Source organism: Homo sapiens, chromosome 15 (genome assembly GCF_000001405.40).
Source record: "Homo sapiens chromosome 15, GRCh38.p14 Primary Assembly".
Lineage (NCBI taxonomy): Eukaryota > Metazoa > Chordata > Mammalia > Primates > Hominidae > Homo > Homo sapiens.
This window is the reverse complement of record NC_000015.10, coordinates 63759869-63772863: the sequence shown is the minus strand read 5'-3', so window position 1 is coordinate 63772863 and position 12995 is coordinate 63759869. Positions and strand designations below refer to the sequence as shown.

The following is a 12995-nucleotide window of genomic DNA, read 5'->3' as shown; positions in this document are numbered from 1 at the left end:
ATCATAAGATCTATGAAAATTTGAATTTCTTACTGTTACATAAAAATAAATAAGAAAAGCATGCCGTGCTTTGTTTGGGATATGGAATGTTGACATGGGTTCTGTGTTCTTCACTTGAGTTGCCCAGGGATGCAATGATGTAATAATTAGGAAAGGCTTTAGGGACCAGCTGTGGGAGGCGTGTAGGCCTCTTTGTGTTTTCTTATTCAATATTCAAATCCTCTCATTTGCACATGTTTTTCTAACTTTGTTTTCTGATTCTTAATACTTTCTGGTAACATCCTCTTATGTTATACTCCTTTCAAGTCTGTAAAGTGATTTATTGACCTAAAATAATATATTTAATATATATATATTAAAACAATAAAATAATGTATTTATGGTCACATGTTAATATTTCTGTAAGAAGTCACTTAATTCCTCATTTTACGGGCTATTTATTTTGCATTACCTTTGTTACAAAAAAGATATTAATCATTGCACAATATAGTTATATGATTAAATGTTTGCCAATGGTGTGTTTGAACAAAATGCTAGTTACCTTGAGGCAGAAGCCTCTTCCTCGAGGACCTTACCTTCTAAGGCCTTATTCTACAATATTGCTCCTTAATGGGAAGAGGGTACCCCAGAAAATAGATTTCTTTTCTCAGTGTCCATTTAGCCTCATTGTCTAGGCTTGTATGCATATTTGATAATTGACTGGATAGTTTAAATATTTTTCCTTTTTCCCTTTTTTTTTTTGAGATGGAGTTTTGCTCTTGTTGCCCAGGCTGGAGTGTAGTGGCGTGATCTTGGTTCACTGCAACCTCCACCTCCCGGGTTCAAGTGATTCTCCTGCCTCAGCCTCCCAAGTAACTGGGACTACAGGCACCTGCCACCATGCCCAGCTAATTTTGTTTCTGTATTTTTAGTAGAGACGGGGTTTCCATGAAGGCCTACCTTAAAGTAGATCTAAAATAATTTTTTTTTTAACTGCTGGATTTCCAGTTTTCTTTCTACTTGGCCTCTCATTCCCAGACAAAATAGCAAATTCGCTAGTCAGGGAGGTTCCTCCCTCCTTCCTCTCTAAAGCCATACCCTATAATATAGCTCCTTATTGGGGCAGAGATGCCTCTAAAAAACTAGATTGCTGGCCAGGCGTGGTGGCTTACACCTGTAATCCCAGCACTTTGGGAGGCCGAGGCGGGCAGATCACCTGAGGTCAGGAGTTTTGAGACAAGCCTGGCCAACATGGTGAAACCCTGTCTCTATTAAAAATAAAAAAATTAGCCAGGCATGGTGGCAGGTGCCTGTAATCCCAGCTACTTGGGAGGCTGAGGCAGGGAGAATCGCTTGAACCTGGGAGGTGGAGGTTGCAGTGAGCTGAGATCGCACCATTGCACTCCAGCCTGGGTGACAGACCAAGACTGTCTCAAAAAAAAAAAAACTAGATTGCTTTTCTCAGAATTCTAGATCTATTCTGGGGAAGAATATGTGTTTGACTTAATTTAGGTCTCAAAGCCACCTCAGGCCTACATTAGATTGAATTTTAATTAAATCTCAGCTTGGTTTTAGGGGAAAGGAATGCTTATTAAACTGAATTATATATTTGTTATTTCTTCTTGCACAGTCAGTGATAGTATCTGATGTTTTTGGTCTCCAGAACCCGTGTTTCTTTTCTTTTCTTTTTTTTTTTGAGGTAGAGTTTTGCTCTGCCACCCAGGCTGGAGTGCAATGGTGTGAACTTGGCTCACTGCAACCTCTGCCTCCTGGGTTCAAGCTATTCTCGTGCCTCAGCCTCCCCAGTAGCTGGGTTTACAGGCACTTGCTATCATGCCTGGCTAATTTTTGTATTTTTAGTAGAGACGGGGTTTCACCATGTTGGCCAGGCTGGTCTCGAACTCCTAACCTCAGGTGATCTACCTGCCTCGGCCTCCCACAGTGCTGGGATTACAGGCGTGAGCCACCGTGCCCAGCCTAGAACCCATGTTTCTTACACTTTACTGTTGTCTGAGAACTAGGAAGTTTGTAGAGCCTCTTCTGATACACTAGACCCCAACCTGACCTGATCCTCCCCGTCTTGAATTTCTCTATCCTTGAGTAACTGGGCCAGAACTTATCTCCCAGCTATAAGTTAGAGGGAGAGACACATAACCATCTATTGAGTATCTGGTACAAGACCTAACAAAAATAAGTTCAATCGGTAAATTGTATTTACTTGTGTGATTCTTAATCTCTGCTGCCCACACATATGTAATGAATTTGGTGGGAACACACAATATATTCATTAACTTATATGAGAATAGGGAAGTAATCTCAGTGTACATCTTCAAATTATAAAAAATAACCATATGTACGCCATTCACCTTTGATGCCACTAGGTGTTTACTGCACATGTTGTGCCAGATACTGCTAGGCACTGGGTTAAAAAGATGAATAAGCTTTGGAGCATCCATGTCTTTAGACAGCCCACAGTGTAATGAAAGAGGGATGCACAGACATTTCAAATTAATGATAATGGGCTATAGTAGAAGTCTGTACTGGGAGGAGATGATGGGATGAAAGAAGAGGGCGGGAGGCAAAGGGACCGAAAATGTCTTACGGAGGAAGTACCCCTGAGGTTATTTGAAAAGTAGGAGGGTTTTGCCAGCAATTGTGAGGTGTGTGTGTCAGGGGAGCTGGAGAACTTTTCAGATGAGAGGCTCACAAAGCGATTGAGTTGTGGGGAGAGCAAGCCCCGGGATGTATGGAATGGAATGAGATGAGATTGAGGCTGCAAGCTAGGCAGGGCCCTGTATCCCATGCTATAGGCTTTGGGGACTTGATCCCATATGTAATGTGAAGTTATTGAAGCAATTTTGAGTAAAAACAGCCAGAACGGAAGGAAATGTACTCCGTCTAATCTTATGTCTTTGAATATCTTAAGCAGACAAATGTGAGGGGAAAAAAATTGTCATTTAGTATGGTAGATAAGAGGAAGGTAACTAAAGACCTGTGAAACAAAAACATTTATTTTTTTTATTTTTTAAGACAGAGAGTCTTGCTCTGATGCCCAGGCTGGAGTGCAGTGGCATAATCTTGGCTCACTGCAACTTCCACCTCCCGGGTTCAAGCGATTCTCCTGCCTCAACTTCCCAAGTAGCTGGGATTACAGGTGCCCGCCACCATGCCTGGCTAATTTTTTTATATTTTTAGTAGAGATGGGGCTTCACCATGTTGGCCAGGCTGGTCTCGAACTCCTGACCTCAGATGATCTGCCTGCCTTAGTCTCCGAAAGTGCTGAGATTACAGGCGTGAGCCACCACACCGGGCCCCAAAATTTATTTTAATTTCGACTTTATTTTTGGACCATTGAACTTTCCATCATGTTGAGAATGTGAACAAATGAAGTTATACATTTAATGGGCTATATTTTTCAAAATTTATTTTCTCTAAAAATGCCCAGCTTTAGCCCTGTTTTTTTTGGAAACAGAGTCTCACTCTGTCACCCACTCTGGAGTGCAGTGGCAAGATCTCGTCTCACTGCAGCTCCCGCCTCCCAGGTTCAAGCAGTTCTCCCTGCCTCAGCCTCATGAGTAGCTGGGATTACAGGCGCCTGCCACCACACCTGGCTGATTTTTGTATTTTTTAGTAGAGACGGGGTTTTGCCATGTTGGCCAGGCTGGTTTTGAACTCCTGACCTCAGGTGATCCACCTGCATAGGCCTCCCAAAGTGCTGGGATTACAGGCGTGAACCACTGTGCCCGGCCTGTGTAGAATGAGTTTTAGGTGTGTCTTCAATCGTAACTGACTGAAGCTGGAGTAGACTTATCCTTAAATACTGACTTTTTTGTTGAGAAATTAACAACAGTCATTACAGTGTTTGTGGGATATTTTGTTGGTTTGGTATTGTTAAATTTGGCAGTAATTTATTAAAGGCTCCCAGTATTTTCTCTTCTTTCTCAATATATATATACATAATGCAAAATAATAATTATTGCTATCAGTTTTGAGATCTTACTATGTAGTGGGAACTGTGCTAAGCATGTTTTACACATAATTTCAGTTAATTATGTAACAGCTCTAAATGTTGTGGGCATCATTCCCATCTCAGGATGAGACCCTTTCAGTAAGAGCCAGTAAGGGATGGAGCCTAGATTTAAACCCAAGTTTATCACTAAAAACTTTATGCTGTTTTCAACATTTTTCTCCATACTGTAGAAAGGCATAAAAGAGGGATCATGATGGCCCTGGTGCCAGCTCCTAGAAAGGTACATCAGTCTACTCCTTACCTGTTTTTGTTTTGGTGATCACTAGAGTTGGCTTTTAGATAACGAAGCCACAGATCACAATTGCGATTTTTCTCAGAAATGCTTCACAGCTAACTAGGGAATTTGGAGAGGTTGCAACCAAGTATTTGTTGTTGTAGCAACACATTGTATGTCTAGGGACTAGTTACTTTTAAACACTTAGCTTCTGATATGATTCCATACCTGAGTCTGGACTCTGAAGCCTTACTACTCAAAGTGTGAGCCACAGACAATAGCACTGGCATCACCTACATTTGTTAGAAATGCAGAATCTTAGGCTTCTTCTCTACTTACTGATTAGGATCTGTATTTTAACAAGATCACCAGGTAATTCGTGTCAACATTGAAATTTGAGAAGCAACATCCTAAATAATTAAAAAGAAAAACTGACTTGGCAGCAGCAGGTTAATAGCAGATGACCCAGCAATAAGAGAAACAGTCGAATAGAATCAGAGATCTGAAGACGATGAGCAATGTGCTATGATTGGAAGGCTCTGATTAGCTATCATAGTTATTGAAAGCTATCTGAGAAGTGAGGGATTTGGAACAGCTGAAGAGAATAATTAAGAATAATGATTATTAATGGGGTGGGGCGATAACGGAGACTATGACAACAGGAAGCTTTACATAGTAAATTTATAAAGATCTTGGAGAAAAGGAAGCTATATGAAGAGACTGAAGATTAAACTTCTCTGCAGCTTTGCTGGGGTGAGGAGAGTGGTGTGAAAGTCATTCACATGGACTTCATCATAGCAGCTTTTGAAGGCAGAGGGAGAACTTGTTAGATGACAAAAAAGTTCTGCCATGTAATACTCAGCTCTTCGGAGAACTCTCCAAAGTGATTGACATTTCATTGATTTGAGGGTAGCAAGATATTTGCTGTTTTGTTTTGTTTTTGAGACGGAGCCTCGCTCTTGTTTCCCAGGCTGGAGTGCGGTGGGGCGATCTCGGCTGACTGCAGCCTCCGCCTCCTGGGTTCAAGTGATTCTCCTGCCCCAGCCTCCCCAGTGGCTGGGACTACAGGTGCCCGCCACCACGCCCGGCTAAAATTTTGTATTTTTAGTAGAGATGGGGTTTCAGCATGGTCAGGCTGGTCTCTAACTCCTGACCTCAGATGATCCACCCGCCTTGGCCTCCCAAAGTGCTGGGGATATTTGCTGTTTTTATTTAAAAGTATTATTTATTGTTTATCTGCCCAGTAGATACAGATTGATGAAAAGTTCACCATTGTTTTATTTACCTGATGGAATAGAAAGAGGACAGATGAATATATAGAGCAACTTAAAACCTATAGGCCAGGCGCGGTGGCTCACGCCTGTAATCCCAGCACTTTGGGAGGCCGAGACGGGTGGATTGCCTGAGGTCAGTAGTTCGAGAGCAGTGTGGCCAACATGGTGAAACCCTGTCTCTACTAAAAATACAAAAAAATTAGCTAAGCATGGTGGCGTGCACTTGTAATCCAGCTACTTGGGAGGCTGAGGCAGGGGAATTGCTTAAACCCGGAAGGTGGAGGTTGCAGTGAGCCGAGACTGCGCTACTGCACTCCAGCCTGGGCAACAGAGCAAGACTCCATTTCAAAAAAAAAAAACAAATGAAAAACCTATAAAACTTTAGTGTAGGCTGGGCATGGTGGCTCACGCCTGTAATCCCAGCACTTTGGGAGGCCCAGGTGGGCAGATCACCTGGGGTTGGGAGTTTCAGACCAGCCTGAACCAACATGGAGAAACCTCTTCTCTGCTAAAAATACAAAATTAGCTGGGCATGGTGGCTCATGCCTGTAATCCCAGCTACTCGGGAGACTGAGGCAGGATAATTACTTGAAACTGGGAGGTAGAGGTTATAGTGAGCCGAGATCGTGCCATTGCACTCCAGCCTGGGCAACAAGAGTGAAGCTCTGTCTCAAAAACAAAACAAAACAAAAAAACCCCTAACCTTTAATGTATTACGAAACTTAAAAAATTCTAAGTAAGCTTCATTAATAGTTGATAAGCTTTATTAATGTGCTGTTTTTTATTTTGAGACGGAGTCTCATTCTGTCACCTAGGCTGGAGTGCAGTGGTGCGATCTGCAACCTCCGCCTCCTGGGTTCAAGCGATTTTCCTGCCTCAGCCTCTCAAGTATCTAGGATTACAGGCACATGCCACCATACCTTGAGAAGTTTTGTATTTTTAGTAGAGACAAGGTTTTACCATGTTGGCCAGGCTGGTCTTGAACTCCTGACCTCAAGTGATCTGCCCACCTCAGCCTCCCAAAATGCTGGGATTACAGGTGTGAGCCACTGTGCCTGGCTAATATGCTTTTAATGATATTAATTTTAATTAATTACTAATATATAATATAACATAAATAAATTAGTATTAATCAAATTAATCGGATTAATATTGATGAAGTTAATGTTTGACCTCTATGATTATATTAATAGTATAAATACATTTTAATATTTACTAATAGTTAATAAGCCTTAATAATAAGCTTTATTAGTAGATCCTGAGGTGGGAGGATCACTTGAGCCCAGGAGGTTGAGGCTATAGTGAGTTATGTAAACCAAAAACTATCTGAGACAGGTCGCAAATCAATTTAGGTTTATTTTGTCAAGGTTAAGGACAATGCCTGGGAGATGAGTGTAAACCAAGAAGTGTCTGAGACAAGAAATTGATCTTTCTCTATCAGTTTAGAAAGCCATTGCACTCCAGCCTGGGTGACAAGAGCGAAACAGTCTCAAAAAAATAAAATAAAGTTTATTTTGCCAAGGTTAAGGACATGCCTGTGACAGCCTCAGGAAGTCCTGGTGGCAGGTGCCCAAGGCAGTTGGGGTACAGCTTGCTTTTATACATTTTAGGGCGACATAATATATCAATCAGTACATGTAAGATCTTATTGGTTTGATCTGAAAGGATGGGATAACTCGAGGTGGGGGGCTTCCAGGTCATAGGTAGATTTAAACATATTCTGATTGGCCGTTCGTTGAAAGAGTTAGTGGAATGTGTGGGTTACAATAAGGAGTTGTGGGAGAGGTAGGTTTTATCATGCAGATGAAGCCTCCAAGTAGCAGGCTTAGAGAGAATAGACTGTAAATGTTTCTTTTTAGACTTAAGATCAGTATTGATGTTAACGCTGGATGGATATAATGAGGCATGTCCGATCTCCCACTTCCCGTCCTGGCCTGAATCAGTTCTTCAGGTTAAATTTTAGAGTGCCCTCCCATAGGAGGGAGTCCATTCAGATGGTTGCTGGGGGCCTTTGAATTTTATTTTTGGTTTACACAGATCTGTGCCTTTTTCCAAAGGTGATATTGAGGGCTTCACTATTTAAAGGGGGTAAGCAGGCTGGAGGAGAACAAAGGAGGGTATGGTCGCATTACTGAATCCACAAATTGCAAGAGAAAAGGAGCAGAATAGTGGAATTATGTATTTCTCTGGCGCTCAGTAGATAGGCATTTTATATAAGATAAGGTGAACAGAGAGTAGTTACCTATGAGGATATTCACCCTTTCATCTGTAGCTATCTGCTTCGGAACAAAAGGAAAGGCAGCTTCTTGCATAAGTCAGCCGTCAGCTTAATTTTTTTCTTTTGTCAGGGTGAATTGGAGTCTCAAGGTTTTATTTCCTTTTCACAGCAATAATCTTTGCCACTGAATTCCAGCCTTGGCAACAGAGCAAGACCCTAGAAGGTCATATACCAGTTAAACTCCTCCATTTTGCCTCTTAATGTGCATGCTTGATCCCACTCACCCAGCTCCTGAGATCTTATTAGCAAGTTGCTGATCACAAGTTTCAGGGTTTTTTTCTGTCTGTTGGGAGACTGCCTTTCCCTGGTGCTGGCTGCAGTCAATTATTGTTTTAGAGAGACAGTTAACCACTGCCTGACCATCACTTGATGGTCACCTGACATACCTGGTGGTGGGGGTTGTAACACTGTAACACTGGGACCTTGGTTGTGGTGAAACTAAGAAGGGAGGGACAGACTTTCTGCTGCTTTGGTCACGTCATTACTAAAGCTGGCTGTATTCTGTCAGGTGGAAGGCAGGTGGGCAATATACCCATGGGGAGTATTTCCTGAGACCACATTTTCTGGATACTGGTCACCCAAAGAGTGTGTAACTGGCAGAATTCCACTTCCTTGATTGTTTCGAGAGCCCTGTGTCCCTTGGAATAAATCACTTTTTAATCAGGTAATCAGTGAGGGATTGGCACTTAATTTATCATGTGATGCAGTAGCCAGCTCGTTTAATAAAACTTCCTTGCAAAAGTTAGTTTCATGACCTAATGTTAGGATTTGGTTTCAGTGCACATAATTATATAAACAGGTCTTCAAATAGGTGTTGTTTTTGTAGACTGTTTAACTAATTTTAATGCATATGTCTCTCCCCTTCCTACGCTGTGTCCCGCAATGTTTTAATTATAGGGTTCATCTGCTGATCGGAGTCAGTGGAGAGAACCAACCAGAACATCGGATGGCTTGTGCTCCCTTTACGAGGCAGCATTATGTCTCTTTGAAGAGGTACGTAATAATCGTGGCTTTTGTATTAACAACTTTGTGTTAAAATGCTATGGCATGTATTTATCCCTTAAAAATAATCCATTTTCTCTGGAAAAGCTACAAAAGGAAGTGGCACCAGTTGTTACCTCTAGAGAGAGGAACTGGGTATCTAGGGTGGGGGTGGGGTGAGTAGGAGACATTCTTTTCAATGTATACCCTTTCATTTATTTTGATTTTTGAATTATGTGCTGGTAACTTTAATTGAAAAAATGTTGTATTAAGTAAAACACATAGAAAAGCATACACATATATTGCTTAATGAATTATTATAAAATAAATACCCTTCTAATATGTACCTAGGTAAAGAATTTTCTTAGTCATTGCAGAAGCCCTTTCACAGCCTTGTCATAACCTCTTTTCTCCTCCCCAAAGTAACCACTATTGTGACTTTGACCACTTCCTTGCATTTCTTTATAGTTCTGTCAACCAGATGTGCATCCTTAGACACTATAGTCTTGCCCATTAAAAAAAAAAAAAGGAAAGTCTTTTAAATATTTTAATCTCTAGGTTCCCTCCTCCATTTTTCTTTTCCTTCAATATGTTTGTTCAGGAATCTAGGCTTTCTAGGCTGTAGCATTTCCCACAGTCTGGGTTTTACTGATAGATTACTCATGATGCAGTTCCTTATGTTTCTTTATCCTCTGTATTTCCTATAAATTGGCAGCTGGATCCAGAGGCTTGATCAGTCTCAGGTGTTATGTCTGTATACATGTATTCTTCCATTAGGTTCTATCTGGTTGTCTCTCTTTGTGGTATTAGCCCTTGATGCTTAATGACTATATTAATTCTTTTGTGCTTTGTTGCAAAAATATGATATTCTAATTCTATCGTTTCTTTTTATTAGTGTTGGGGTGATCAGACCCAACACCAGGTCGTGGGGGTGACAAAGTCCGGTGGATTCAAAGGATTGAGAAAAAGACAGTTTGAGAGAGAAAGGTGGGACACCAGGGGGCCATGGCTATTGTGGAGCCCACAAAGGCCCTGAGCTCTGGGACCCCACGGTATTTATTGGTAATCCAACAAAGAAATAGGTGGTGAGAATGTGGAGGTCAAAAGGGCAGGCGCATGGTCTACAGCTGTGATGGTTTAGCATTTATATGGAACATGTTCTGCTACTTGAGATAATGGGAATAGGAGCCTAGGAGAGCTAGAAGCAAGGAGCCAGCAAGTCTAGACACATTCGAGAGGACATTATGCAAGCCCTGCCTCAGTTTCCCTCGCAACACTCAGCTTTTTCCCAACAATTAGTTGCAATATTTTTGTGAAGAGATTCCCTTATTGACTGATTACTCTGCTACAGTTTATATGGGAAGAGCAGAATAAATGCTTGATTCTTTCTATCTGCTCTTTATTTACCAGTTTTCAATTTAATGAATTGTCTTCCTACCATCCTCCAAACTTGGCCAATTAACTTCATTTAAAAAATATCATGGGCTGGGTGCAGTGGCTCACACCTGTAATCCCAGCACTTTGGGAGGCCGAGGTGGGTGGATTACCTGAGGTCAGGAGTTCGAGACCAGCCTGGCCAATATGGTGAAACCTAGTCTCTATTAAAAATACAAAAAATTAGCTGGGTGGGGCGGCAGACGTCTGTAATCCCAGCTACTCAGGAGGCTGAGGCAGGAGAATTGCTTGAACCCGGGAGGTGGAGGTTACAGTCAGTAGAGATCATGCCACTGTGCTCCAGCCTGAGCAATAAGACCAAAACTTCATCTCAATAAATAAATAAATAAATAATCATTATGAACCCACAGATTTAAGCCTATTTGAGTTTCAGCACATTGAATTATTATCTGCAGTGAAGGTCATGTTGTTTCATTTTTGGCTATTAGTCTCTTCAGGGTGGTTCCTAAGTTATTTTAACATAAGCCTCATAATCTTTTAGAGCCTCCTTGCTTTCTGATACGTTTCATTGTTTCTGGCTGATCTTACACATTTGTTGCCCCCAATCTGGAATCATCTAGCTAGTTTTCTGAAAAAAGTCCTGGTTTCTTTTATTGGAAAATGATATTTCAAGACCACAATCAGGGTGCTAGAAATGCTTACTGCTACTGAGTTGGTCTTATTTCTAGGTTTTTATATTCATGGTAGACAGAGCTAGGATGTGTATACATGTGTTTTTAAAGCTAAGATACCTAATGAGTTCATACTGATACTTTCAAATTCACAGCTATAGAATTTTTACTTAACCTTTACATTTATATCTTCTTCCTTTTAAACTAAGATTGCTAATTCCCAAAGATACAAGGATGAGAATTAGAATATGCCATTATTACTCATTTGTTTTAATTACATGTTACACACATAGACACATAAACAGCAGTCCTAAAATAAGACAAATAATTACTGCTGTATGATTACTGAAAAAATTAATTTCTAAATTATGCTTTCCCTGTTTTTTAATAATTGTATTACATCTATATAGGCCATATAGTTATTACATACTCTCTGCATTTTTTTTTTTTTTTTTGAGACAGTCTTGCTCTGTTGCCCAGGCTAGAGTGTGCAGTGCTGTGATCATAGTGCCCTGCAGCTTCTATCTCCTGGGCTCAAGTGATCTTCCAGCCTCAGCCTCCCAAGTAGCTGGGACTACAGGCATGTGCCATCACACCTGGCTAATTTTTTTATTTTTATTTTTAGTAGAGATGAGGTATTGCTATGGTTGCCCAGACTGGTCTTAAACTCCTGAGCTCAAGTGATCCTTCTACCTCGGGCTCCCAAAGTACTGGTATTACAGACGTGAGCCATGGCGCCCAGCCTGTCTCTGTGTTTTAACCTTCATTTAGTATTAGTTCTACAAATGATTACTTATTTAATGCTCAATACTAGTCTCTGTGTCAGTGTCTATTCTTTTTGATAGTTTGAGGGTCATTCTCTAGTAGATTTCTCAATAAAGACTCATCAGAACAAGATTTCAGAGTTTTTGCATGTTGATAATTGCTGTGCTCTTTATTCTTGAATGTCAGTGTTGATAATAATCTTTAGTTCATCTTTTCTTTAGTTCACATTTTCTTTTCTTCTTGTCTATCTTAAATATGTTACTCCATTCTCTTCTGGCATAAACTGTTACTGTCAAAGTCCAAAGGTAATCTGATTTTCTTTCCTATGTGAGCCATGCATATTTGCTGAGAAGCCCAAAGGATTTTTTTTTCTCTTTAAAGATCAGTAATTTTACTATAGAATATGTCTTGATATTATTCATTCTGGGTTGATATTCTTAGAGATGTGATAATTCAATATGTAGTTTCAAATCTTTTTTATTTCAGGAAAATGTCCCTAAATTACAGTTTCTTATTTTTATTCCCTTGATTGGGTTCTATTCTTTAGGGATTTCTATTATGTGCATGTTGGATCTTTGCCTGATTTTAATATTTGTCAGTTTTTCTTGAATACTTTGTCTTTTTAAATTTTTTAATTTCTAAAAATGCTTTTTGTCTTTCATTACTCTTAGGGCATTATCTACTGTATTTATTTACTTTTGGGTTTCTTCTAGTTTAGTCTTCAGTTCCAAAATGATTTTTTTCTCTTATTTCTAATTCTTGAGTTATGTTACCTCATTTTTGAGGGTTTGTAATTCAGATTTCTGTTTTTCCTTTGTGTCTTTTTTTTTTTTTTTTTTTTGGATGGTGTCTCTGCTGCCCGGGCTGGAGTACAGTGGCATGATCTTGGCTCACTGCAACTTTATAATAACTTCATATGGGATTTGACCTCAATACTTTTCTGTTGCTTATTTCTACGTAGGATTAGTTTTCCTGAACTCTTAGAATGAGTTGGGATTTAAGATGGCTTTTTAAACTCCATAGACTCCCTCCCTCTGTTTTTTTTTGTGTGTAATGTTAAAAAAAAGTCGTTTTCCAGTTTGTTCCCCTTCCCAACTTTTGTCTTGGTATTCTCTTTCCTTTCCATCTTTCCTTTCTGTTGTCCCTATCCAGTTCAATTTTTTTTTCTGCCCCCAGTAGTTTTTCTCAGTGTAGGGGCTTTGTCCTGGAAAGGAATCCTGGCTGGCCAGTATCAAGAGGCATGAGCCACCACACTGGCTGTGATAGACCTGTAGATGAGCAATTCTGACTCCCTTGGCCCCACTATCCTCCTTTATCTCCAGCAAAATTCCAGACCTTTTATTAGGGACTGGCAGCTGTCCTCAGATACTGTCCTCATGTTCACTGGAAAATATTTGTCTAACACACA

The 12995-nt window shown here is 40.4% G+C and overlaps 1 protein-coding gene across 50 annotated transcripts in view, besides 2 other annotated features; it reads left to right on the top strand.

The window, feature by feature from the left end:
• Nucleotides 1–12995, top strand: part of HERC1 (HECT and RLD domain containing E3 ubiquitin protein ligase family member 1) — a 225331-nt gene that overhangs the window by 61085 nt on the left and 151251 nt on the right. For all 50 annotated transcript variants that reach the window (XM_047433260.1, XM_047433247.1, XM_047433234.1 and 47 more), the window contains exon 3: nt 8673–8768. In XM_047433260.1, the coding sequence (XP_047289216.1) occupies nt 8673–8768 (96 nt within the window). The remainder of the gene's footprint in view (nt 1–8672; nt 8769–12995) is intronic.
• Nucleotides 5659–6159: an enhancer, noted in NCBI's record as "H3K27ac hESC enhancer chr15:64058904-64059404 (GRCh37/hg19 assembly coordinates)". NCBI's record gives its function as "activates a minimal SCP1, AML or CMV promoter by ChIP-STARR-seq in primed H9 embryonic stem cells {active_cell/tissue: H9 hESC(primed)}" and the evidence as "EXISTENCE:reporter gene assay evidence [ECO:0000049][PMID:30033119]".
• Nucleotides 6975–7732: an enhancer, noted in NCBI's record as "OCT4-NANOG-H3K27ac-H3K4me1 hESC enhancer chr15:64057331-64058088 (GRCh37/hg19 assembly coordinates)". NCBI's record gives its function as "activates a minimal SCP1, AML or CMV promoter by ChIP-STARR-seq in primed H9 embryonic stem cells {active_cell/tissue: H9 hESC(primed)}" and the evidence as "EXISTENCE:reporter gene assay evidence [ECO:0000049][PMID:30033119]".